The sequence below is a fragment of the Homo sapiens genome, chromosome 4, assembly GCF_000001405.40.
Source record: "Homo sapiens chromosome 4, GRCh38.p14 Primary Assembly".
NCBI classification, from domain to species: Eukaryota; Metazoa; Chordata; class Mammalia; order Primates; family Hominidae; genus Homo; species Homo sapiens.
Window position 1 is genome coordinate 176,673,724 of NC_000004.12, and position 27,807 is coordinate 176,701,530.

General features: G+C 37.5%; 1 protein-coding gene and 1 long non-coding RNA gene across 2 annotated transcripts in view, besides 1 other annotated feature; one reads left to right on the forward strand and one right to left on the reverse strand.

Moving 5' to 3' along the window:
• The window catches only part of HAFML (HuR (ELAVL1) associated fibroblast migratory lncRNA), a 51,960-nt gene that overhangs the window by 19,540 nt on the left and 4,613 nt on the right, over window positions 1–27,807 (forward strand). The window lies entirely within an intron of this gene.
• VEGFC (vascular endothelial growth factor C) overlaps window positions 9,815–27,807 on the reverse strand; it is a 109,385-nt gene continuing 91,392 nt past the window's right edge. The window contains exons 5-7 of the mRNA NM_005429.5: window positions 14,098–14,204; window positions 13,464–13,797; window positions 9,815–10,317 (exon numbers count right to left, since the gene is read on the reverse strand). Coding sequence (NP_005420.1) covers window positions 10,203–10,317; window positions 13,464–13,797; window positions 14,098–14,204 — 556 coding nt within the window. The 3' untranslated portion in view covers window positions 9,815–10,202. The remainder of the gene's footprint in view (window positions 10,318–13,463; window positions 13,798–14,097; window positions 14,205–27,807) is intronic.
• Window positions 18,616–19,503: an enhancer, noted in NCBI's record as "NANOG-H3K4me1 hESC enhancer chr4:177613493-177614380 (GRCh37/hg19 assembly coordinates)". NCBI's record gives its function as "activates a minimal SCP1, AML or CMV promoter by ChIP-STARR-seq in naive H9 embryonic stem cells {active_cell/tissue: H9 hESC(naive)}" and the evidence as "EXISTENCE:reporter gene assay evidence [ECO:0000049][PMID:30033119]".

Sequence of the window (27,807 nt, forward strand, 5' to 3'; positions counted from 1 at the left end):
TTTTTCACATATCATGTTAACAAAATGACACATGTCTAACCAATTGGAAATTATTTAAACATAGTTTAAAATGCTACTAACACAATATGTATTAGCATATTTTTCCAAAATCGTAAAGTTGCTTACAATTGTGGATGCCCGGTCACCTTCAGATGTTGAATATAGTCCGCCAGGTTGTGGCTGCCTTACCAAAATATATAAAGATAGTGTTTTATTTCAAGACCAGCTCATTTCCCAAATGTGTACGAAGTAGTCCTTATAGAGGAATATTCTATGGTTATAGTAAAATAAAAATAGTACCTGAAAGCTGGAACCTATGGATAATATTTAAGGTGGGACTTACAATATGGAGGATAGTCTATATTTTTATGAACATTATAGTACGATCCTGTTTTACTTAGTTGTCTACTAGTATTTCAAAATTATATATGCACACACTCTTTGTCTGAAGATATTTACAGCATTATTTTTAAATTACTGCCACCTCTCCTCCAAGCTCTCACAATTCTACACCTTAACCTTTAACCTTTTTGACAAACTATGCTTTGAATCACATTGACTGAACCTTCTGTTGTTCATCTTTTAAGAAATTTACACTGGATTTCAGTGGATCTCTATAAATTTATTTTCCTCTGACAAGAGAAAGAATAAAAATTAAATTCAAATATACCAGAAATGTGGTGAGAATTCCCAGCATAGCTATTGCTGAGTTAGAGTATTTTTTTCCAACAGCTGCTTAATAGTTACATATAACTTTATAAGCAAGTTATATGTTAAGGACATGGTGTTACCCCTTTGTTCAGTTTGAAGTACAGGAACATTTCGCATTGCTTAGTGACATTTTCCAGATCATGCTGCCTTTAAAAAATGCAGTAACAATTCCCTCATAGTTAATGTTTGAAAAGTTCTGATTTAAACTGAGTTTATAAGATTTAAGAAAAAAGCGTTTTTTATTAAAAATGAAAAAAATTCCTACTGAAATGTGAGAAATTCTTAATCAAGTAGAAATTTGAATAAAAATTCAAATTTTATTTTCAAAGTTTATTTTCAACTTTTTGTTATTAATATTCAGGTACATTTAATTTTTTCATATTCATTTCTTTTCTGTTTCTTTCGTTTCAAAAACATTTTTTATGCAGTCAAAACTGCCTCTCATTCTTGGAATATTTATCTTGATCTTTCACAGCAAACTTCCAGTCTCTGTGTGCTGTTTTACATATTAAAGGAGGAAATGTCAGGAATGATATATTTGAAGCACAGTTTCATGACCTGATGTAACAAAAAGTATGATTGATTCCAAAATGCATTACAACATTGTTTTATATAATCATAGTGGTGGTAAATTTAGATTCTAAAATTTGATGTTTGACCAAATACCAATATTTTCTCAAGTTTCCTCCCTCTTAGAATTTTGAGGCTTAACTTCTGGATGCTTAGAAATTAATTAATTAATTTAATTCTGCTTAGAAAGAGAATTTCACATTTGAAACTACCCAAGATTATAGAAATTACATAGTGAGGGCTTATTATGAATCAGGCACTGTTCTAACCTTTAAAATAATTGTGAATTTTGTAACCAGCAACCAAGGAATTAATTGCCCTTTGAAATCAACAACTGTGGCTGTGATTCTTGGTCCCCCATAGAATCCCAGTGTGGAGTGAGGCCATCAGTTTTATCTTCTGCTTGGAAAACCATTTATAGATTGCCACAGTTATCACCAGAGTTCCTTCCAGTAATTTAGTTACTATATTGGTAATGAATGAAAGCATCAAACAATTGTTTAGAATTAAATATAAGCTCCTTACAATGTGGGGCATCAGACTATCAAGGCAGCTATTTTTAAGTCCGACTTCGGAGCAAAATCCAGTTCATGCATACAGATATTTTATCATTTTTACTTCAAGCTCAGTAAAGCCGTTTTTCAACAAGCTCTCTCAGGTAGAGTTTTCAGTATAACTTGAATAATTGAGCTAATTGTTCTCTCTGCAAATCTCCAGATTGTAAAATTCTTGTTTACTTTTCTTTTATCCCCAGCTCTCAACACTACTCAGATACTCTAACTGTCTTGGGATATTTTCATTGGTTTCAAAATGTTTGATTCATATTCGACTTTTTCTTGCTAATTAAAATTTGGGCACAAAGATTTCTAAGGACTGAATTGTGTCCCCTCCCCCAAATCCATATGTTCAAGCTCTAACCTCTAATGTATTTTGAGATAAGACCTTCAGGGAGGCAACTAAGGTTAAATGAGCTCATAAAGGCGGGGTCCTCAGCCAGCAGTACTGGTGTCCTTGTAAGAACAGGAACAGATACCAGATCTCACTCTTTCTCTCTCCATATGTACAGAGAAAATCTATGTGAGAACGTAGTGAGAAGGTGGCCATCTGGAAGCCAGGAAGAGAGGCTTCACCAGAAACCAGCCAGGATGGCACCCTGATCTTGGACTTCTAGCCTCCATAGCTGTGAAAACATAAATTTCTGTTGTTTAAGCCACCAGCCTGTGGTATTCTGTTAGGGAAACTCTACCAGGCTCTACCAGGGAAAGTGGGTTTGAAAATGCAACCTTCTGAAAAACCTAGGCATATTTGGATTTGCATCTATTTGCATCTGGATTTGCATCAAACAGGGAAACCTCTGTATGAAGATGCAAAGTCCTTGGTAAAATAAATTTTCATAAGAGAAGAGAGAATCAAGGCATATGAATTTGGTGAAAGAATTCTTAAAAGTTCAGGACTGTCCATAACTTTATTTGTAAAAATGAGAGGTTGACCTCTACAATTACTGAAAACCCCTTCTAGGTCTAAACCAAATTCCTCGAATTATCTCAGATGCAGACAAGAGACTGATGATTGTTTAAGTGAACTCTGCAAACTCCAATATCCCTCCATTATTGAAGCTCTAGTTTCCCGGAAGCCCAGGGAATAAGTTACCACATGATGTGGACAAATAAGAGTTCTCTTTCCTACATGCCCTAGAGGGTGAGTTGTCAAGCTTGACTGCCCACCCAGATACTGAGGTAGGAGGTGGGGCTCAGACACTGGACCAAATGGAGGACTAGCTAAAACAGGTCCAGGGAAGAAGCACCTCCCCCTAAGACAGGCCCACCAGTGTACCATGTCAGCTTACCATTGCTACAGCAACACCTGGAAGTTAGCACCGCTTTCCACCACAATGACCTGAAACCTCAGAAGTTACGACGCTCATCCTAGAAATTCCTTTATAAACTTCCCCTTTATTTGCACGTAATTAAAAGTGAGTATAAATATGACTGCAGAACTGCCTCTTGGCTGCTATTCTGGGCACACTGCCTACGGGGTAGCCCTGCTCCACAAGGAGAAGTACCTCTGCTGCTGCTTCAATAAAAGTTGCTGTCTCACACCACTGGCTTGTCCTTGAATTCTTTCCTAGATGAAGCCAAGAACCCTCCCTGGCTGAGCCCCAATTTTGGGGCTTGCCTGTCCTTCATCAATATGATAGGGACAACTGAGCTTGTAAATTTCTCACACAAAGAGCAAGCCAGTCATATGTCTTGTTAGAAAAAAAAAATCACAACCAAATTCTCAGGTGATCCAAAATTTCATGTAAAAACATCTGCTTTAAATCTAGAAATTAGGAAATTATTAGTTTCTTCATGCTCTCTCAAAAGCAATACACCATTGTATGAATAATCATAGATGATGTGGCATTAGAGTGTCCATGTGCACAAGTAAAGAATGAAGTTATTTCATGCCAAATACCTTTCACTGTTTTATTTCAGACTTTTACCACTGAAATTTTCAAACAACCATCACGGTATTTATCTCATTTACTTAATAAATACCACAATCCAATTCAAATACTGCTGAAGAGATAATATAATTTTGTCTTTACCATTCTTGTTCACAAATTGCAGAAATTTCTCTGTGCATTTCAAGACGTGACCACACCTTCCCTATCCCTGTCCCAACAGGTCATGAGACCCCCCTCATGTTTTCTTAAAATTTTAGTGTTCCTGCTTTTTCTCTTTTGTTTTCCTTTCTCACCCTTCCTTATTTTGTTCCATATTTTTCCTTCCTACTTTCTCCTTTTCTTCATTTCCTTTCTTCCTTCGTTTTTCCCTCCCTTTTGTTAGCAAGTCCAAGTGCTTGTCTGTGGCCCTTTACTTACTGCGTGCTCTATGAGGAGAATGAGCTTCAAAGGTATCATCACAATTAAGAAGTGCAGTATTAAAATGGGTATCATTCTGTCAATCCAAAGCCTGGGAAAGAAAGGAAGGAAGCTGAGAATGTTTGAACTTAAGATTCCAAAATCTTATCTGATTCCTGGTATTGTTTTTCCTGTGATAGCTATTATTGAGCAGCAGTTGCCAAAAATATTGTGGAGTGGAAACATTAGAGTATGAGTGTAAAGAAAGAAATAATAAAGGGTTAAATCATATTGTTTAAGATGAGAAGGTGATATAGAAAAAAAAAAACTAGTGCTTTGAAAAAAACCTGTATAGAAAGGAAATATGAAGTGTGAATAACAGGGAGAAGCCATTTGTTACATATTTAGGAAGGGCTCTGTGAAATCTGGATGGCGTGTGTTTAGCGACGTCACTAATATCAAAGAAAAGGAGTCCTTTTAAAATTGAATGGACAGAGTTACATTTTTTATAGGTGTAATCATATTTCCAATAAAGAAATTCAATGGACCAGGCATGGTAGCTCATGCCTGTAATCCCAGCACTTTGGGAACCCAAGGCTGGCGAATCACTTGAGGTCAGGACCACTCGAGACCAGCCTGGCCAACACGGTGAAACTTCATCTCTACTAAAAATACAAAAATCAGCTGGGCATGGTGACGAGTGCCTGTAATCCCAGCTACTCGGAGGCTGAGGCAGGAGACTCACTTGAACCCTGGAAGTGGAGGTTCAGTGAGCTGAGATCATACCACTGCACTACAGCCTTGGTGATAGAGTGAGATTCTGTCTTAAAAAAAAAATTACTGAACAGAGCTATATAAACTATATACATTTGAATATAAGAAAATGAATTTTCAAAAAGGCTAAGAGGATGCACAGCTGCCTTAAAATAATGAAAAAAATTCCACATGACTTTAATGGCACATTAAAAATATTGCTATAAAGTCCAATGGTGTTGAATATTCCTGAAAACTTTTTTCTCTTTTTAAAAGTATTCAGAAATTTTCTTTGTAAAATTAAGTATTTTGGTTTGAGACATTTTCAATTCTTTCTTAGCTGGAAATTCATTACTCAGTGAATTTTTAAAAAGTTTTTAACAGTGTTTCACCATCATTTCTATCCAATCAAAACAGTTATTGCTGGTAGTGTGGACAGTCATCGTCATGTTTCATCAAGTCTGATATATAATCAGTCCTGGTGGGTGAGTCTATGGGTAGTATTCAACATTTTGACCTCTGTACTTACAATTATATAGATGTCAAATCCCAGAAACAAAGGTCCAATCCCTAATGAAATCCTATCATCAGAATGCCATATGGTAACAACATTAGAAATTGATTTTTGCTTCAAAGGCCTTGCCTGGACTGAATACAGTATATGTGCATCTGATTGAGCTTTGGAAGGCATGCACGAGAAGTCTTAATTTTTCCTTCCTTATGAAAGTTTCATGGTTTAATTTTTTTCAAGATGTTTGAAAATAAATTTTTCAAAGTCTTTATCCATATCACCTTTGATATGAAGAAATCAGGAAGAATGATGCTTTGAGCTATGGAAATGTGTTAGGATTTAAGAAGTAGAATTAGAATTATAGTATAAGGCTGATATGTTTTTCATTTATAATTTTTTTACATGCAACATTTTTAAAAGATAAATATTTCCTCTTAATGGGGTCAGTAATCTCAAGAATGCTGTGTCCCTGGAGTTCTTAAAATGTTCTGGTTTTGCTTTCCCCTTGTACATAGTTTAGAACAAACTTTGTAACTTCAGAGCCAGGATTTCATACACAATTTTAATCCAACTCTTTCCTTCACAGATTAACATGCTGAGACTCGGGAGGTGGTGATTTGCCTAGGGACACAGAAAAGTAAGGATTAAAAACTTAGTTTAGGATTCCCAATCCAGAGCTCCTTCTATTACAGTATGCTTCTTTAGACAACGAGTTGTTAGTTATGTAATGAAAAGAACATATGAAACTGGCTCACACTTCCATAAGCTAGCAGATAGTTATTCCCCACTTTAAAAATATCCATATAGGGCAGGGCGCGGTGGCTCACACCTGTAATCCCAGCACTTTGGGAGGCCGAGGTGGGCGGATCATGAGGTCAGGAGATCGAGACCATCCTGGCTAACACGGTGAAACCCCGTCTCCACTAAAAATACAAAAAATTAGCCGGGCATGGTGGCAGGCACCTGTAGTCCCAGGTACTTGGGAGGCTGAGGCAGGAGAATGGCGTGAACCTGGGAGGCAGAGCTTGCAGTGAGCCGAGATCGCACCACTGTACTCCAGCCTGGGCTACAGAGCGAGACTCCTTCTTAAAAAAAAAAAAAAAATCCATATATACCAATAATTCAAACATACGAACAGATAAATTAGTAATTCTTTCATAATTAATTACTTTATGACACGATATGTGTCACTGACTTCCTTAAATTGTTGTTTGGGTGTACGATAGACACTTTTATTTGGATTTATTCAGGACTTTCTAGAATTCATCTAGAAAAAATCAGACACATTCCTGCTCTTTCTTCTGTAGCAGAGTGAAATACTATTTTTATGCTATTCTCATTTTTAATTTAAAAGGTAAAGTCCCTAAAAAATATCCTTTGGAAAACCTGCTAATGAAAGCTCAGATCTTGGGGACAGCATAGCAATGTAGAAGAGTGTGGGCCGAGAGACCTGTGTATTCTCTTAGCCCCAGCACTTCCTAGACAGATAAACATGGGAGCTTCAGTATGTAGGTAAGGAGTTTCATAAGCTTTGCCGTATTCATACAGCAAATGTATGAAACAATTGCTGTAATATGAACTCTCTCACCTGTTGTGTCTGTTTCTTCTCTCTCATCCACTGAGTAAAATTCCTTCATAAGCGGGGTATCCCTTGAGAAAGCCTAGTGCCTAGAGATAAGTTCATGACCCTTTCTCTTTTCTTTAAAGTGCATTCTAGGTACGTCAGTGAATTCAGTCTTATATTTGCCACTCAAACTTGTTTTGAGTGGTGTGAATACAAAGAACAAAGGTTATTTTTAGAAATTCTAATAATGGAATCTGTTTCAGCCAAGCAGTTAGTAAATGTCAAAAGCTTTCCCCCAAAAAATCTGGACGCTAACTCTTACACAACTGCTCACCAAAACAATTTTTCCTTGAGTCTTTTAAAAGGAGTATGTGCTATTAGGTTTCTGGACATAAAATTCTGTTTATAAACTTTCTAAGATTTGGAATATACTAACTGCTTTAAGATAATAACTGCTGCGAGCTTCCAGAGTTTTCTTAACTTTATCACTTAGGTTGACTGAATTGGCATCTCAGGACTTTCCTGCAAAGTTTATGAACATTCTCACTGTAGTTTTTAGCTTTTTTGCTGCATCATATTTGTTAATCTAATTAATTGTTTAGCTTTATCTTTAGTCCATTTTCTTCACTGGCTACACAACATCTCACTCATTATAATGTGTTGAAGAGGGATTTTTATGGTCCACATAAAATTGTTTGCAAGTATCTTCGGCAATATATTATCTTTGTTTACGATACTCTCACTTTTGGTCAAAATTATTACATCTCCAGGGACAAGATTAAATAGTTTTTCTGGCATGATTCAGGCTTTAGTTTTTGATTTCGTGTTTTCATTCTTTGGTTTACCCCAAAAAACTAATGTTTAGCACACGGTTTAGTTTGTTTTCAAACCTGATAACGTATGACAGTCATTGTATCAGGTTCTACTATTCTTTACATGGCCTCAGGGTGCTTACTGAAACTTAGAATATATTTTACTCCTAATTTAGCTTAAAAATTAATGAATATATCAAATGTAAAAATGATTGGCCAGATCAACAGTAACAGATTATGTAATGTTTATTTATATTCCTTTTGGCTCAAATAAGATGAAAAAATGAATCTTAGCTGAATTTCAAAGATGATGAGCATTTTATACACTAGGGATTGTGATTCCCTATAAGATGAAAAGAGGTTATTTTGATCTCAATTTTCGTTTTGTAATCACCCATTGTCAAATTTACTTTTCAAAGTTTTTTTTTTTAACTATTCTTAAGTTTGAAAACTTTCTAGACCTTAGCCAGTATGTAGAATGCCCAATGCATATGTTGACTGCTGACAAGCTTCAGAGCCATTGTTACTAAAAAATAGAAAAATAGTCTATAATTCGTAAATGAGAGTGTTTTGGAAGACTGCTTTCCTTTTCCAGGACATAAACAACTTTACTTCATGAACTAGATGATAATGCTGTACAGAGCACACAGCTGGAATTCAGTAACCATTGCACTAAAACCATTTTTTAAAGTTAGTATTGAAAACAGGATATTTTCAGGGCACTGACTTCCTAATTAAACAGTTTGAAAGAAAACATTATTTTGTAGCAAAATATATAGATACTGATATTTTGTATCATACTGATTTGTCACCTATACCAGTTAAAAATGTTTTAGTGGGCTTCTGTAGTCCCAGCTACTCGAGAGGCTGAGGCGGGACAATGGCTTGAACCCAGAAGGCAGAGCTTGCAGTGAGCCGAGATCGCACCACTGCACTCCAGCCTGGGCAACAGAGCGAGATTCCGTTTCAAAAAAACAAAAATGTTTTAGTTAAATTAATGTGCTACCTTTACATGCTTATGAGGAATATTTTCTCTTTTCAGGACTAATTATTTTTATACAGTAGTTATGATGTACCAGTATATAATTCTCTGTCAACGAACAAACCACTTATTTGGTTTTATTTATGCAGGCAAAATCTTTGTTTTAGTAAAAGGTATTTTAGGCTGGGCACGGTGGTTCATGCCTGTAATCCCAGCACTTTGAGGCCGACGTCTGTGGATCACTTGAGGTCAGGAGTTCGTGATCAGACTGGCCAACATGGTGAAACCCCATCTGCACTAAAAATACAAAAATTAGCCAGGTGTGCCGGCACGTGCCTATAATCCCAGCTACTCAGGAGGCTGAGGCAGGAGAATCACTTGAATCCGGGAGGCAGAGGTTAGGGGCAGTGAGCTGAGATCACGCCACTGCACTCCAGCCTGGGCAACAGAGCAACACTATCTGAAGAAAAAAAAAAAAAAAGATAAAGGTATTTTAGTGTAATGCCTTTTTGAAAATGAAACAAGCACTTCAATTGTGTGGCTGAAATGTTTCCTTTTAAACATGCATGAGTATTTAAATATTATTTTTAGTTTTTTTTTAAAATGTATTGGATAGGAGCACTTCCACTCACAAAAAGTATTTTAGCTGGCCAGAAAAAGTCAAATATTTGGAAAAGATTATTTTTGAGAAAATATTTAAAGCCATTTTAATATATACTGCAGGATTTTCTACCAACGTAAGATTCTGAATGTTCTCAGAGCACTGAATGACTTTTAATCACAATGCTAAGTAGTCTATCTTACAAGATGTTTCATATTGATTCACTTGGTCATAAATTCAAAAGTATCATGTACTAAAATGTTTATAATCATTAAACATATAAGAGATGAAGCAATAGCATTCTGTTGTCCTCTGACACTCTCTTTCACAGGATCATACTTTTTATCATAGTAATACATATGTGACATCTGGTTAGAGAACAAAAAAGGGCAGAGAAAGATCAGTGTCTTCATGATAGTAGTTTTCGTTCATCATGTAAGATGATAATGGACTGAACTTAGCAGCTTATAATACAATTTTCATTTTATTTTAAACATATTTTGCATGATATAAAAATATTGATCACAGTGAGTTTTACCAATTGTTGTTGCTATAAAAATGAATGCAGAAACAATATTTTTAGTGGAAATAAATTATATAGTCATTCTTTTAAAGAAATCACAAGAGGAAAATCTTGGCTGTTTGGTCATTGGCAGAAAACCAGTCTTTACAAGAGGCCTTTTGCAGATGAGCTCCAGTCCATTTCTGTAAAGTTATCCACATGGTTCAGGAAAGACAGACTTTTGTCTTTGTTAGCATGGACCCACAAGGGTCTCTCTGTTCACAGACAGTTCTACTGTGGCAACACAGTTTTCCATAATAGAAAATCGATGAACTGGAAAACAGTACAATCTTAGCTCATTTGTGGTCTTTTCCAATATGAAGGGACACAACGACACACTTCTTCACTATATGAAAATCCTGGCTCACAAGCCTTCTGGCGGTTCGTACATGGCCGTCTGTAACAGCTAGGAGAACAAACAAGAACACACTTACGTTAAAGATCAAGGCAATGGATTCATCATGCTACCAAGGTATTTCTGTGTTTTTAAATTTCAGACTGGAATAAAATTACTAATTTTATGACGAAATTGTTCATAGGTTTAAAAAAGTTTGTTTCTGCTTAGAATTACAACATTTAAGAGGAATGGAAAAGCCTTAAAATAAAAGTCTTGCTTGCTGATATAACAAATGGAAGGATGAGGTATTGTAAGCATTAGTTCCTTTGAAGTGCTCTTTGCTTCATGGGTGAAAGAAACATAAAACAGAAATTCTGAAAGTGAACACTGAAGGTCTGCTGACTTACTGTGATCACATAAGCATGGCAGAATTCACATGAGTCTGGGACTTGTATGGGACCCAGACTTCCAGGCAATTAAACCCAGCCATGTTGGCAGAACTGTGGTCCTCAGTGAGCAGCCCCACCCTCACTCTTGTGTCTCTACTTGGCAGCTGGCTGCATGACGGTGACTAACTCTTCCTTTCCACCTTGGCTCCAGGTGAAACAGAGGCATTCTGGGGCAGGGAGGTGAGAAGGACAATACTCAGCAGCGAGGGTCCCCTTCCTCCCATCCTAGACTTCCAGTTTCCAGTAGCGGTGAGAGGACAAATTATCAATTGGTCAGTGTGTCTCCTGCCCTGTTGCTCCAGTGAATTGAGGCTTCATTTTTTGAGACAGAGTCTTGTTCTGTCGCCCAGGCTGGAGCGCAGTGGGGCAATCTCAGCTTACTGCAACCTCCGCCTCCTGGGCTCAAGCCATTCTTGTGTCTCAGCCTCCCGAGTAGCTGGGATTACAGGTATGTGTGGCCACGCCTGGCTAAGTTTCTGTATTTTTCATAGAGCCAGGGTTTTGCCATGTTGGCTGGGCTGGTCTTGAACTCCTGGCCTCAAGTGATCTGCCCGCCTTGGCCTTCCAAAGTGCTAGGATTACAGGTGTGAGCCACCACGCCTGGTGAGAATTGGAGCTATCTTTTAAAAACATTTTGGAGTATGAGCATGCCTAATGTGTGGGAATAGGTGTAAAGGGAAAAGTGCAAGATGACCTGAGGTGGAAATCAAAAGTGTGCTATAAAAAACCCTACACAATTTGGTTTTGACATTTCATTTATTTGGCTCTAGAAAAGAAAGCATGTCTAGTTAATTTTTCTTAAACTTTGCAAATGCAAATTCATAGTTATGACTACTGGTATTCCTCTACTAAAAAGGGATATGATACTTAATGATCCATAAAAGCTGTTAATTAAGGCAATGAACCAAAGAATATATACTCTGCCTACTGCACTTTGTAATAGATATTAAGAGAGAATGAGGAGAATATATATTTTCAAAATATGATATTTTCTCTTTTGCTCCAATTTATATCACAAAGCTTGGAATTATACACTTAGAAAAATGAATCTAGGATGAGTTGCAGTAAACAGAGTCTTTTTGAAAGAATGTATAGTATTAGGAGAAATGCAATGATAGAAATATTGTCTGTGTTCATATAATTCTGTAGAAAAGTAGGTATGCAGACATAAGAATTTCAGATTTTTCAATGTATACTAAATTCACTCAATAAGAATTCAATATAAAACATAGTTTAATAAGGCTTAAAAAGATTTAGTATCTATATCCTTCTGAAAATAGTAGCATATACATTTTTGAAATGTCCTCTTGGTTATTACAGTAGGAATATATAGGTAAAATTGGAATATAGTTCTTTCTCAAAATAAAATTATACCTATGATGTACTTTGCAGTATAAGGGAAGAAAAATATAATCAATGAGATAGCCAGATCCACTAAAGCCTTTTTATCCAGTAGCTAAAATATTAGTTTAGGAAAACCACCAAAAATATACATTAAAATAAGGACACAAAACTCTTGAGAATAAAAAGATGAACTCGTTATATACTGTGGAAAAATAATAATGAACATTAGTGAAGATAGTAAATAAATGAAATACAAGCTTTTTTCTGTTAAAAAGAACATTATCTACCCATATGTAAAGAATGGATGTAAAAAGAGAATCCAGTGAAAGTGATTAAAAACAAATGGTCTGAAAATTAAGTAGACAACTAGGAAAGTACAATGTCATGTCATAGAAGAGGTGAGCTTAAAGAAAAAGGCCATGGAAAGGACAGGTTACCTAAGGACAAAATTCTCTGTTGGATTTGGCAACTATGAGGCCAATGAAACGTTAAACAGAGGTTTAACATAGCACTGTAGGCCATAAACCAGGTTTTAGTTGGTTGAATACATGGTAGGTGAAAGAGGTGAAAACAAATGCCTCGTTTTTGAGCAGCTTTGAAGAGAACAGACCTGGGTTGCTAAAGTTTGCTCAACTTCACAGTAAGAGGCTAATAAAATAGAAGAAATTTGGGAACTTTTATAAACTAAGGGGAAAAAAAGTAGAGTTGAAGATGTTCAAGTTACAGAAGAAAGAAGGAATGGCATGAAGCAATGTTGAAGGAATGTGGAGAAAATGTCAAACGGACAGGTCTGGCTTAAATAGTAGGATCAATTTATTCTCTGAGATTAAAGAGGAAGAGGTTTCGGGATTAACACTGAATGTGCTTGAGTCGAATAACTTCATTTTTTTTTTCTTGATGCAGAAGAGTCAAAACCAAGTTTAAGACATGAGTCTTGGGTACCTTTAACAACATATTCATTTATTTCTCTAATTCTATCAAATACTTAGCTATGTATTTTCATTTCCAGATATAATTCTATACCAGTGGTACTCTCCTGTCCTTTGTTTGTAAGTTTTGCATAAAAATTGTCTGCATTTAGAACAGTTGTCCTAAATTATGTCTGAAGGCATCCTACTTTTTGGTGGGGGTGAAGTGGATTGCCTTTAGGTATTTTGAAAACATCCCACAGGAACCACTAATTTAGAGTATATTCTGAGCTTGGATCTAATTTTGATCCTCAAGGCTCCTGTCTTGCTTTTTTGGAAGCAAATCCAGTCTCATGCAAGTTTAGCATTGGTTAAAAAAATATAAGATTTTTGTCTTTCAGAATGTATTGGCCTCATTCTAACAAGCAATTGTTACTTTGGTTAAGAAAACTGCTTTTGGTTTAGAGCATATTTCTAGTAAGATAAATTAATATTCTTCATGAGGATCTCTTACCTGCATGTTTGGTGGTGGAACTTCTTTCCTTTTAACAAGCATTTCTGTGGACTTTCTGTACATTCACAGGCACATTTTCCAGGATTTAGGGGTTGATTTCTGGGGCAGGTTCTTTTACATACACACTGGCATGTGTTTTCATCAAATTCTCGGTTGGCCCCACATTGGCTGGGGAAGAGTTTGTTTTTACAGACACACTGGCATGAGTTTCTGTCTAGTTCTTTGTGGGGTCCACAGCTGGCAGGCCGAAGCCCCGCTCTGCAGACACACTGACAGGTCTCTTCATCCAGCTCCTTGTTTGGTCCACAGATGTCATGGAATCCATCTGTTGAGTCTAGACAAATAGTCAGAGAATCTTTACTATACCTTACTTGGTTCTGGGTGTGGCATGAAACAAAAGCTTTTAAAAGCATCTTCCTTTTGTATGTTTTCCATCAAAGGATTGGGTACAAACATGAGTATGTTCCTTTATAAAGGAGTTCAAAATAATACCAACGTGAAGTAGAAAATGTACTATTTTTTAGTCACTTATTTAGAAGAATGATGAATATTATATGTGTGGTTTTAATATTAGAGTATGTTAATCACAATATAGACCCCTGGCGTTTAGTCTTTAAAGCATCATTCTGCTTACCATCTCCAGCATCCGAGGAAAACATAAAATCTTCCTGAGCCAGGCATCTGCAGATGTGATTATTCCACATGTAATTGGTGGGGCAGGTCTTGTTCGCTGCCTGACACCTTTGGAAGAAACAGACGAGGTTTAGCAATGGTGTAACTGGTACCTAGAAGGGACCATCTCTGCTCACATATGTATCAAAATAATGCTCATAGAAAAGCTTTAAAAATATAAGAATTATGAGATAAAATGTGAATGTTTTCTCCCAAACTCTCTCTACCCACAACTGCTATAAAATTCCAATCCCAGAGGTGATCACTGTTTGTGGTATGGTCTTAGAGGACACCAGACTTTTATCTTTTTAAGGCAAACACATTGGTTTGTATAATCATATAGGGTTTTAGCTTGTGAAATAAATAAGGTAAAACCTTTTGCTTTAAAATTTTTTTCCATTATACAATATATCATGGACATTTTTATATGTCATTGAGTAGAGTTCTGCTCCATTATTTTTAGTGGCTATGTAATATTCCATACAAAAGATGTACCATTATTTATTTTATTCATCTCTTAGGTAACTATCTACATCACTTTGATTTTGGCTTTTCCAAGCAATACTGGAGGAAACATCTATGTAAATGTATCTTTACTGACTTATTTCTGAAGCACAGATCCCCATCTTGTAAAGCCTCCAGAAATGCAAAATTTCCACTCTGTACTCCCCCAAAAAGTTATCAAAGATATTTTGTTTCATTGTTGTTCTAGCTCTTTACTTCCTTCCTTCCCTCCCTCCCTCCTTTCTTCCTTCCCTTCCCCTCCTTTCCCCTTTCTTCCCACCTTCCTTCCTTGTTTTAGAGTAAAAATTATGAACCTACAGGCTTCAGTCAAGTACCCTAATTGCTCCTTTGATGGTCCAATGGCCCCACTGTTGCTACCTGAGACCCCTCTCTGTTGGTGCCCACGTGACATGAGCCCTCTCTGGGGTGAACATATATCACAAGCTCAGCTTGCTCATTTTCTCCTCCACACCTGGCATCAGCCATTTCTTCAGGAGCCCTAATTCTCTTTGTTGGAAAACAGCATTTTAGAGGCTATCATTTGAGATCAGAAGTGTTTAGTGCCATCAGATCACATTACTACTAGACCTTTTCAGGGGGCAGAGCTAGAAAAATGCATTATATCCTGTAGAATGTTTTCCTAGTTAATATTTACCCAGTAGAAGGATTTTTGGTTTTAAATATGCTAATTTACAGGATATATATCAACTTCTCACTACCTCATTTTTTCATCTAATGTTGGTGTAGACATCAAATAGAAGTATTTATTTATATCTTTCACACTCATTATATATTGTAAACAACTTTATGTGCTGGAAGAATGTTGAGTTACATTCCAAATTGATAGAACATAGTAAGAATCCTATGTAGCCATCTTAACATGTGCATTGAGTATAAACAAACAGGCCAGTTACTAAGAAAGTTTTGCAGACATACTCAGTGTGACAATACATCTTTCTTTTAATAATAGCCTGGTAACTCTTACAGCATCACATAGAGGAATTTTTCAACAGAAAAACAAGCAAATCTGCATTTTGCAACCAAAATGCAGCTTGAACATCTTCCTTCAGCTTGAACATCATTTCTGAAGATTTACCAAAGCTTTCCTGTCCAGCAAGTCTCTACAGCATCTACTAGACACAGACATGGGGAAGGTCTCTTCATTCCTCTTCATATGACAGTTTGTCGAAGATTGCCCCCTTGTCCTCCATCCACCCATCACCTTCTGCAAATAGCAATGACTGATTTGACCTTTCTTTGTCCCTTCTTGAGTTTCTTCAAGAGTCATTTCTCCTTTAGCAAGGTGAAAAACAGTCTATTATGGGTCTTTTATTTATTTTAATTTTGACTTTTAACTTTTTGATTGCTGTGTTATTTGCTATGCTATACCACAAAGTGACAATTTCTCATACAGCATATACACGGTCCATGTAACTAGATACAAAGCAACTGTATGTTAGCAACATCAATAATTGCTGATTAGGAAACAATATACATTTTAGATTTTATCAAGAGAGTTTGTCACTTTTCTATGCTTTTCTACAGGCATTATTAGGTATCAATTATTTTGTAGGAAATAGCTATGTTTTGGTTTACCTTCCATTCACTATAATTGTTCCCATTTAGAACAGAAATGTGCTCTCAAAATCTATTTTTGGGAATAGATTACTGATCTTAAGCAAGAGATTCCTGCACACATTTTTAGAGAAAAAATTTCATACTGTTACTTCCAAATCCAATTAACATTACTGGATTTTAATGTACTACTTTGACTTCATACTAATAACTTCCATGAAAACCTTGGCTTCTAACAATCTTCACATAAACTGTTATTTGCTTTATCCTGCATATATTATGTACTTCTATGTTCTTACTTTTGAGAATGTCAAACATGTATGTAATTATCAGAGTTAAGACTATGAGAAAAATGTACAGTCAGAGAAGTTCTGTATCATCAGCAAGTTTCTTTTTTTTTTTTTGGCTTTTTGGTTTATGTTTTCAGGGTATCTTCTTGCCAAAAAATTGCATATATGTTTTTTCACATTTTGTTACACAGATAGCATCCGTTACACATTATTGTAAACCTTGTTTTTTTCACTTACCAATATTTCTTGGAGAACATTGTACCTTCCTAATAATTTTAGGAATTCCAAGGGCAAGTCTCTACTCATTGCGCATTTTTGTCATTATTTTCTAGGTTAATCATGAACATATATTGTTCTAGATAAAATGCAGACAGTCAGGACTTATCCAAAACAGTATCATTGTTTTTAAAATTTATATCCTCTTGATAGTTAGCATCCTTCCATCAAATATGATACAACTTATATTAAGTTCTATAATAGCAATGCAATTAATCCTGGCTGCATGAAACTCATAATCTTCTATAAATGATGGTAAAAACATTTTGGTTATGTCGCTTCTGTGTTGATTGATATATGGTTTAAGTAACACACTGCCATGTTGGCATCGAGTGGCCATTATAACGTGTTGGTAGAAAGGCATCTTTCATTTTACCAACATGTGATTTATACTGCCATTACCTAAGCCAGTGTTATTCCAGCTGCTGCTTGCAACCCATTAATGAATCATGAAATCAATGACATGGGCTCAGAAATGCATTTTAAAATGTAATAGAATGATATGTAATAAAATACAAACCAATAGAATGCATGTGATACAGATTGGTTCCTAAAGAAAGCACCGTGCTTCAAAAGTGAGGAGCAAGTTCTTCGCATTTAAAACTTCTCAGGCAAAAATGGTGGGCAGGGGGTCAACATTTCCAAAATATTTTTATTTTAGAATGAAAGGAAATGTGGTCATGATGGATAGAGGTTTAGTAAAATTTGGTTATCTCCTTTACGTTTTAATCTCCAAAGCATTTCTCCTTACAGAAATTTCTCTTCTAGTTCTGAATATTAAAGTATGCATAAATACTTTAAAGGTTTATAATTATGTTTTTTGTATAGTGTATTTATAAAAGACATTGATTCAAAGACATTCTGTCTGCAAAGCAAAGCAGGGAATTGCACAATTATTTGCAAGGTATGTCTATGTTGAGAATCATGTGAATAAACTAACTTTCCTATCCCCCCACCGACCCCACCACACACACACACAGGCACAACCACAATCCTGCCTATAACCTGTATGAAGGATAAAGATGCTTTTATCAGAATTGTTTCATTAATTATTTTCACAGCTTCACTTGACTTTGGTGTGGCAGCTATTGCTTTATGCTGGTTAAAATCACGTGACAAAAATATGAGTATATGTGTTTTTCAAACTAAAGAACAATGAATTTAATGATAAATAAAATCTTAGTTTGCATTTATCTCTCCTTTGAAATATTAAAAGATAAATGTATTCCAAATACGTTCTGTTACATTATATTCTAAACGTTGGGTAATAATTACCAGCTCTTGGGGAGGAGCCAAGATGGCCAAATAGGAACAGCTCCGGTCTACAGCTCCCAGCCTGAGCAACGCAGAAGACGGGTGATTTCTGCATTTCCATCTGAGGTACCGGGTTCATCTCACTAGGGAGTGCCAGACAGTGGGCGCAGGTCAGTGGGTGCACGCACCGTGCGCGAGCCGAAGCAGGGCGAGGCATTGCCTCACTTGGGAAGCACAAGTGGTCAGGGAGTTCCCTTTCCTAGTCAAAGAAAGGGGTGAGGGGCAGCACCTGGAAAATCGGGTCACTCCCACCCGAATACTGCGCTTTTCCGACGGGCTTAAAAAACGGCGCACCGGCCCGGCGCGGTGGCTCACGCCTGTAATCCCAGCACTTTGGGAGGCCGAGGCGGGCGGATCACGAGGTCAGGAGATCGAGACCATCCCGGCTAAAACGGTGAAACCCCGTCTCTACTAAAAATACAAAAAATTAGCCGGGCGTAGTGGCGGGCGCCTGTAGTCCCAGCTACTTGGGAGGCTGAGGCAGGAGAATGGCGTGAACCCGGCAGGCGGAGCTTGCAGTGAGCCGAGATCCCGCCACTGCACTCCAGCCTGGGCGACAGAGCGAGACTCCGTCTCAAAAACAAACAAACAAACAAACAAAAAAAAAACAAAAAACGGCACACCACGAGATTATACCCGCACCTGGCTCGAGGGTCCTACGCCCACGGAGTCTCGCTGATTGCTAGCACAGCAGTCTGAGATCAAACTGCAAGGCGGCAATGAGGCTGGGGGAGGGACGCCCGCCATTGCCCAGGCTTGATTAGGTAAACAAAGCAGCCGGGAAGCTCGAACTGGGTGGAGCCCACCACAGCTCAAGGAGGCCTGCCTGCCTCTGTAGGCTCCACCTCTGGGGGCAGGGCACAGACAAACAAAAAGACAGAAGTAACTTCTGCAGACTTAAATGTCCCTGTCTGACAGCTTTGAAGAGAGCAGTGGTTCTCCCAGCACGCAGCTGGAGATCTGAGAACGGGCAGACTGCTTCCTCAAGTGGGTCCCTGACCCCTGACCCCCGAGCAGCCTAACTGGGAGGCACCCCCCAGCAGGGGCACACTGACACCTCACACAGCAGGGTATTCCAACAGACCTGCAGCTGAGGGTCCTGTCTGTTAGAAGGAAAACTAACAAACAGAAAGGACATCCACACCGAAAACCCATCTGTACATCACCATCATCAAAGACCAAAAGTCGATAAAACCACAAAGATGGGGAAAAAACAGAACAGAAAAACTGGAAAGTCTAAAAAGCAGAGTGCCTCTCCTCCTCCAAAGAAACACAGTTCCTTACCAGCAATGGAACAAAGCTGGATGGAGAATAACTTTGACGAGCTGCGAGAAGAAGGCTTCAGACGATCAAATTACTCTGAGCTACAGGAGGACATTCAAACCAAAGGCAAAGAAGTTGAAAACTTTGAAAAAAATTTAGAAGAATGTATAACTAGAATAACCAATACAGAGAAGTGCTTAAAGGAGCTGATGGAGCTGAAAACCAAGGCTCGAGAACTACGTGAAGAATGCAGAAGCCTCAGGAGCCGATGCAATCAACTGGAAGAAAGAGTATCAGCAATGGAAGATGAAATGAATGAAATGAAGCGAGAAGGGAAGTTTAGAGAAAAAAGAATAAAAAGAAATGAGCAAAGCCTCCAAGAAATATGGGACTATGTGAAAAGACCAAATCTATGTCTGATTGGTGTACCTGAAAGTGATGGGGAGAATGGAACCAAGTTGGAAAACACTCTGCAGGATATTATCCAGGAGAACTTCCCCAATCTAGCAAGGCAGGCCAACGTTCAGATTCAGGAAATACAGAGAATGCCACAAAGATACTCCTCGAGAAGAGCAACTCCAAGACACATAACTGTCAGATTCACCAAAGTTGAAATGAAGGAAAAAATGTTAAGGGCAGCCAGAGAGAAAGGTCTGGTTACCCTCAAAGGGAAGCCCATCAGACTAACAGAGGATCTCTCGGCAGAAACCCTACAAGCCAGAAGAGAGTGGGGGCCAATATTCAACATTCTTAAAGAAAAGAATTTTCAACCCAGAATTTCATATCCAGCCAAAATAAGCTTCATATAAGTGAAGGAGAAATAAAATACTTTACAGACAAGCAAATGCTGAGAGATTTTGTCACCACCAGGCCTGCCCTAAAAGAGCTCCTGAAGGAAGCGCTAAATATGGAAAGGAACAACTGGTACCAGCCGCTGCAAAATCATGCCAAAATGTAAAGACCATCGAGACTAGGAAGAAACTGCATCAACTAATGAGCAAAATAACCAGCTAACATCATAATGACAGGATCAAATTCACACATAACAATATTAACTTTAAATGTCAATGGACTAAATGCTCCAATTAAAAGACACAGACTGGCAAATTGGATAAAGAGTCAAGACCCATCAGTGTGCTGTATTCAGGAAACCCATCTCACGTGCAGAGACACACATAGGCTCAAAATAAAAGGATGGAGGAAGATCTACCAAGCAAATGGAAAACAAAAAAAGGCAGGGGTTGTAATCCTAGTCTCTGATAAAACAGACTTTAAACCAACAAAGATCAAAAGAGACAAAAAAGGCCATTACATAATCGTAAAGGGATCAATTCAACAAGAAGAGCTAACTATCCTAAATATATATGCACCCAATACAGGAGCACCAAGATTCATAAAGCAAGTCCTGAGTGACCTACAAAGAGACTTAGACTCCCACACATTAATAATGGGAGACTTTAACACCCACTGTCAACATTAGACAGATCAACGAGACAGAAAGTCAACAAGGATACGCAGGAATTGAACTCAGTTCTGCACCAAGCGGACCTAATAGACATCTACAGAACTCTCCACCCCAAATCAATGGAATATATATTTTTTTCAGCACCACACCACACCTATTCCAAAATTGACCACATACTTGGAAGTAAAGCTCTCCTCAGCAAATGTAAAAGAACAGAAATTATAACAAACTATCTCTCAGACCACAGTGCAATCAAACTAGAACTCAGGATTAAGAATCTCACTCAAAACTGCTCAACTACATGGAAACTGAACAACCTGCTCCTGAATGACTACTGGGTACGTAACGAAATGAAGGCAGAAATAAAGATGTTCTTTGAAACCAACGAGAACAAAGACACAACATACCAGAATCTCTGGGACGCATTCAAAGCAGTGTGTAGAGGGAAATTTATAGCACTAAATGCCCACAAGAGAAAGCAGGAAAGATCCAAAATTGACACCCTAACATCACAATTAAAAGAACTAGAAAAGCAAGAGCAAACACATTCAAAAGCTAGCAGAAGGCAAGAAATAACTAAAATCAGAGCAGAACTGAAGGAAATAGAGACACAAAAAACCCTTCAAAAATTAATGAATCCAGGAGCTGGTTTTTTGAAGGGATCAACAAAATTGATAGACTGCTAGCAAGACTAATAAAGAAAAAAAGAGAGAAGAATCAAATAGACGCAATAAAAAATGATAAAGGGGATATCACCACCGATCCCACAGAAATACAAACTACCATCAGAGAATACTACAAACACCTCTATGCAAATAAACTAGAAAATCTAGAAGAAATGAATAAATTCCTCGACACATACACTCTCCCAAGACTAAACCAGGAAGAAGTTGAATCTCTGAATAGACCAATAACAGGATCTGAAATTGTGGCAATAATCAATAGCTTACCAACCAAAAAGAGTCCAGGACCAGACGGATTCACAGCCCAATTCTACCAGAGGTACAAGGAGGAACTGGTACCATTCCTTCTGAAACTATTCCAATCAATAGAAAAAGAGGGAATCCTCCCTAACTCATTTTATGAGGCCAGCATCATTCTGATATGAAAGCCAGGCAGAGACACAACAAAAAAAGAGAATTTTAGACCAATATCCTTGATGAACATTGATGCAAAAATCCTCAATAAAATACTGGCAAAACGAATCCAGCAGCACATCAAAAAGCTTATCCACCATGATCAAGCGGGCTTCATCCCTGGGATGCAAGACTGGTTCAATATATGCAAATCAATAAATAAATGTAATCCAGCATATAAACAGAGCCAAAGACAAAAACCACATGATTATCTCAATAGATGCAGAAAAAGCCTTTGACAAAATTCAACAACCCTTCATGCTAAAAACTCTCAATAAATTAGGTATTGATGGGACATATTTCAAAATAATAAGAGCTATCTATGACAAACCCACAGCCAATATCATACTGAATGGGCAAAAACTGGAAGCATTCCCTTTGAAAACTGGCACAAGACAGGGATGCCCTCTCTCACCACTACTATTCAACATAGTGTTGGAAGTTCTGGCCAGGGCAATTAGGCAGGAGAAGGAAATAAAGGGTATTCAATTAGGAAAAGAGGAAGTCAAATTGTCCCTGTTTGCAGACAACATGATTGTATATCTAGAAAACCCCATTGTCTCAGCCAAAAATCTCCTTAAGCTGATAAGCAACTTCAGCAAAGTCTCCAGATACAAAATCAATGTACAAAAATCACAAGCACTCTTATACACCAACAACAGACAAACAGAGAGCCAAATCATGAGTGAACTCCCATTCACAATTGCTTCAAAGAGAATAAAATACCTAGGAATCCAACTTACAAGGGATGTGAAGGACCTCTTCAAGGAGAACTACAAACCACTGCTCAAGGAAATAAAAGAGGATACAAACAAATGGAAGAACATTCCATGCTCATGGGTAGGAAGAATCAATATCGTGAAAATGGCCATACTGCCCAAGGTAATTTACAGATTCAATGCCATCCCCATCAAGCTACCAATGACTTTCTTCACAGAACTGGAAAAAACTACTTTAAAGTTCATATGGAACCAAAAAAGAGCCTGCATCACCAAGTCAACCCTAAGCCAAAAGAACAAAGCTGGAGGCATCACCCTACCTGACTTCAAACTATACCACAAGGCTACAGTAACCAAAACAGCATGGTACTGGTTCAAAACAGAGATATAGATCAATGGAACAGAACAGAGCCCTCAGAAATAACGCCGCATATCTACAACAATCTGATCTTTGACAAACCTGAGAAAAACAAGCAATGGGGAAAGGATGCCCTATTTAATAAATGGTGCTGGGAAAACTGGCTAGCCATATGTAGAAAGCTGAAACTGGATCCCTTCCTTACACCTTATACAAAAATCAGTTCAAGATGGATTAAAGACTTAAACGTTAGACCTAAAACCATAAAAACCCTAGAAGAAAACCTAGGCATTACCATTCAGGACATAGGCATGGGCAAGGACTTCACGTCTAAAACACCAAAAGCAATGGCAACAAAAGACAAAATTGATAAATGGGATCTAATTAAACTAAAGAGCTTCTGCACAGCAAAAGAAACTACCATCAGAGTGAACAGGCAACCTACAAAATGGGAGAAAATTTTCACAACCTACTCATCTGACAAAGGGCTAATATCCAGAATCTACAATGAACTCAAACAAATTTACAAGAAAAAAACAAACAACCCCATCAAAAAGTGGGCGAAGGACATGAACAGACACTTCTCAAAAGAAGACATTTATGCAGCCAAAAAACACATGAAAAAATGCTCACCATCACTGGTCATCAGAGAAATGCAAATCAAAACTACAATGAGATACCATCTCACACCACGTAGAATGGCAATCATTCAAAAGTCAGGAAACAACAGGTGCTGGAGAGGATGTGGAGAAATAGGAACACTTTTACACTGTTGGTGGGACTGTAAACTAGTTCAACCATTGTGGAAGTCAGTGTGGCGATTCCTCAGGGATCTAGAACTGGAAATACCATTTGACCCAGCCATCCCATTACTGGGTATATACCCAAAGAACTATAAATCATGCTGCTATAAAGACACATGCACACGTATGTTTATTGCGGCATTATTCACGATAGCAAAGACTTGGAACCAACCCAAATGTCCAACAATGATAGACTGGATTAAGAAAATGTGGCACATATACACCATGGAATACTATGCAGCCATAAAAAATGATGAGTTCATGTCCTTTGTAGGGACATGGATGAAATTGGAAGTCATCATTCTCAGTAAACTATCACAAGAACAAAAAACCAAACACCGCATATTCTCACTCATAGGTGGGAATTGAACAATGAGATCACATGGACACAGGAAGGGGAACATCACACTCTGGGGACTGTTGTGGGGTGGAGGGAGGGGGAGGGATAGCATTGGGAGATATACCTAATGGTAGATGACAAGTTAGTGGGTGCAGCACACCAGCATGGCACATGTATACATATGTAACTAACCTGCACAATGTGCACATGTACCCTAAAACTTAAAGTATAATAATAAAAATAAAAATAATAATAATAATAATAATTACTAGCTCTTATACTTTCAACATCACAGCAGGCTATTTTGTGCATGCTATTTTTGTGATTCTCATATTCTACACTCTTTGCCACGGAGGTTTTCCTACACTTGGAGATTTCTTGACTCCTCAAATCCACATTTAAGGAACTAAAACATGCTATCACCTTTTGTTTGGTCTTAGTCAGAACTGGGCTGAAATGTTATTCTTTTTCAAAGAGCTATAATCTGCTATAATCTCTTATACATTTGTATATACATATACATATATATAATATTCATGCATTTTTCCAGCTTTATTGAAGTATGATTGATAAATATTGTACATATATAAGGTATACAAAGTGATGTTTTGGTATATGTATACACTGTGAAATGATTACCAAAATCAAGCTAATTAACATATCCACACCTCAAAGAGTTACTGTGTGTGTGGGGGAGTTGGGGGGTGCAGTGAGAATACTATTGAGTAGAGTAACTATGCTGTACTATACGTTAGGTCTCCAGAGCATATTCACCTTGTAACTGCAAGTTGTCACACTCTAACATTTCCCCATGTCCCCCACCCCCAAGACCGTGGTGACCACTCTTCTATTCTGTATCTATGAATTCTACTTTTCTAGATTCCATATATAAGGGAGATCAGTAATATGCATCTTTCTGTGTCTGGCTTATTTCACTCAGCACAATTTCCTCCAGGTTATTTCACGTTGTTGGAAATGACAGAATCTTTGTAATATATTTCTAATTGAAAAAAATTAACTGCACCTTGATTTATGTTAAACTACTTATTGATTTACTTCCCCAGATCTCTCTTAAAATACTTCACAGATCATTCAAAATGAATGATAACATTAATGTCAATTCAACTGTAGCACATGATGATTTTCTTGAAAAGCAAATTATTTCTATAGATACGAACTGTGTTATTAATCAAGTACTCTCATTGGAAGCTCTTTTAATAAGGTTTTTCACAACAACACAACAAATAAAAATTTGGCTTACCATGTGGCACCTATGGTTCCATAGCTGTGTCCCTCAAATAGCCTTCCTATCTCTAGTCTTGTTCAATGGGAAGTGTGAGCCACCAGCATTAGTGAAACCCATGTTTCAAGGCAGGTACCACAAGCTCTCATGCATTCCTTCAGAGCATCGTCATGTCACTCAGCGGGTTATCCAACAGGATGTTCTGTACCCCATTAAAGAAACAAATAAGGGAAACCTGACTCCATTAACAATCTTGATAAATACCAAAATAGGGTTTTGGTTTTCCACATGCCAACTGCTGATGTTATCTGAAGTTCAAACTTGTAATTGTATTATGAAGAACATAGATACAGACCCTTCTTGCCCAAGCTTTCTGTCTGAATAGCAGCTGGAAGAGCAACTATATTCTTTCATTGTCAGAGCTACAGAGCCCTGGGTAAAAATGCTTCAACAATTTTGTCCCAAATATCTTTGAACTGTCATGTTCATCTTGAGTTTGTTACGCCTGACGCTTGTATACACTTGACTATGTACACAGAGACTGATTTGCTTACACTTTGGAAACAGCAGTTAATAGTGAATGGAAGGTGGTTAAGTAAAAGTGGCCTTTATATTCAACGTTATTAAGTAACTTCTTCAGTACTACAGGTAAAAATCAGAAATACATATATTTTAGGTTTTATATAAATTGTTAAAAAGGCACATGCTTAATCGTATGTATCAAAAACACATAGACTTATCTTCTGTTGTACTGATTTTTATTGATTCTGCATGAACTTGTGTTAGCGTCTGTTTGTGTTACTGTTTGCTCTTGTTCCATTAGTCTACTCACAGGGAGAACAGTGAACAGAGTTGGGGTTTGTTCAGATATTAAAGGAAAAGATGGTGAGTAGGATGAATCAATGAAAACTCCATAGTTGTAACAATTTTGCCAGTCTTAATGTTTGAAAGGCTAATACAATCATTGCATTAATTTAAAACATGGGTTTAGGCTGGGCACGGTGGCTTACGCCTGTAATCCCAGCATTTTGGGAGGTCGAGATGGGCAGATCACCTGAGGTCAGGAGTTTGAGACAAGCCTGGCCAATATGGCGAAACCCCATCTCTACTAAAAATATACAAATTAGCCAGGTGTGGTGGCACGTGCTTGTAATCCCAGTTACTCAGGAGGCTGAGGCAGGAGAATCGCTGGAACCCGGGAGGCAGAGGATGCAGTGAGCTGAGATCACGCCACTGCACTCTAGCCTGGGCAACAGCATGAGACTCTCGAAAAAAAAAAAAGGGTGTTTATATGTTTAATTTTTTCCTTTTTGTCTGAGTATAAACTAAGCAGTAATCTGCCACATAAAAAACTCACCTAGTCTGAGACTGACTTGGATATAAAACATGTCACATTGTGTGGTCACCAACTGGCTAAGTACAGGACTTAACTGAGTTGGAAAGCCACCAGAAGTGGGGATGGGGACACAGGGAGAGTAGGATAAGTATGGAAGCTTGTAATTTTCTGCTCTACTATTTTTTATATTTTCTTGGATATACAAGCTTGAGAGAAGTATTGGCAGGTTGAAACAATGGAAAATCCATGGTTATTGGATTTATCAGCTTGTCACATAATTCAAGGATAAGTAACCAGGAATTAAGAAAAAAGGTCCTCCAACAACAGCCGCTGGTCTCATTACCTTGTCACAGCCATACGTCATTAACAGAAAAACAAAAACAAAACAATGATGACAATAAAAAACACGTTATGAGGGTATAAGAGTTGATATGACATCAAAGTGGCTGGTTGATGCCAGGAATACAGGGGAGGAGAAATGAACAGGCGGAACACGGAGACTTTTAGGGCAGTAAAAGTATTCTGCATGATACTGTAATGATTGACACATCATTTATACCTTTGTCAAAATCCACAGAACTTACACCCAAAAAAGAGGGAACCCTAATGTAAGCTATGGATTTTAGTTAACGATCACATGTCAGTATCGGCTCCTCAACTGTTACAAATGTACCATGCTAATGCAAGATGTTAAAACTAGAGGAAACTCGTGAAAGAGGATGTTATATGAAAACTCTCTATACTTTCTGCTTTTTCTGTAACCTAAAATGGTTAAAAAATGTATATTAAATTTTAGAAAACAACTGGTAAATCTGGTCTAATATGATATTAACAAAAATTGTCCATGTGTTTGGTTGAATGTAACTTTAAACTTTAGGACAATCTTTGATCTAATAGCCCCCAATTCTAGGCAAATCACTGCCATAATTTCGGTGCAGAGATGTATTGATGCAATCTCCTCAGCTGTATATATTTTGCTGTTATTTCTCACAATCTATCAGCAAGCCATAGGAACGCTGTGCTTTCAATTATCGTATTTTAGAAGGTAGA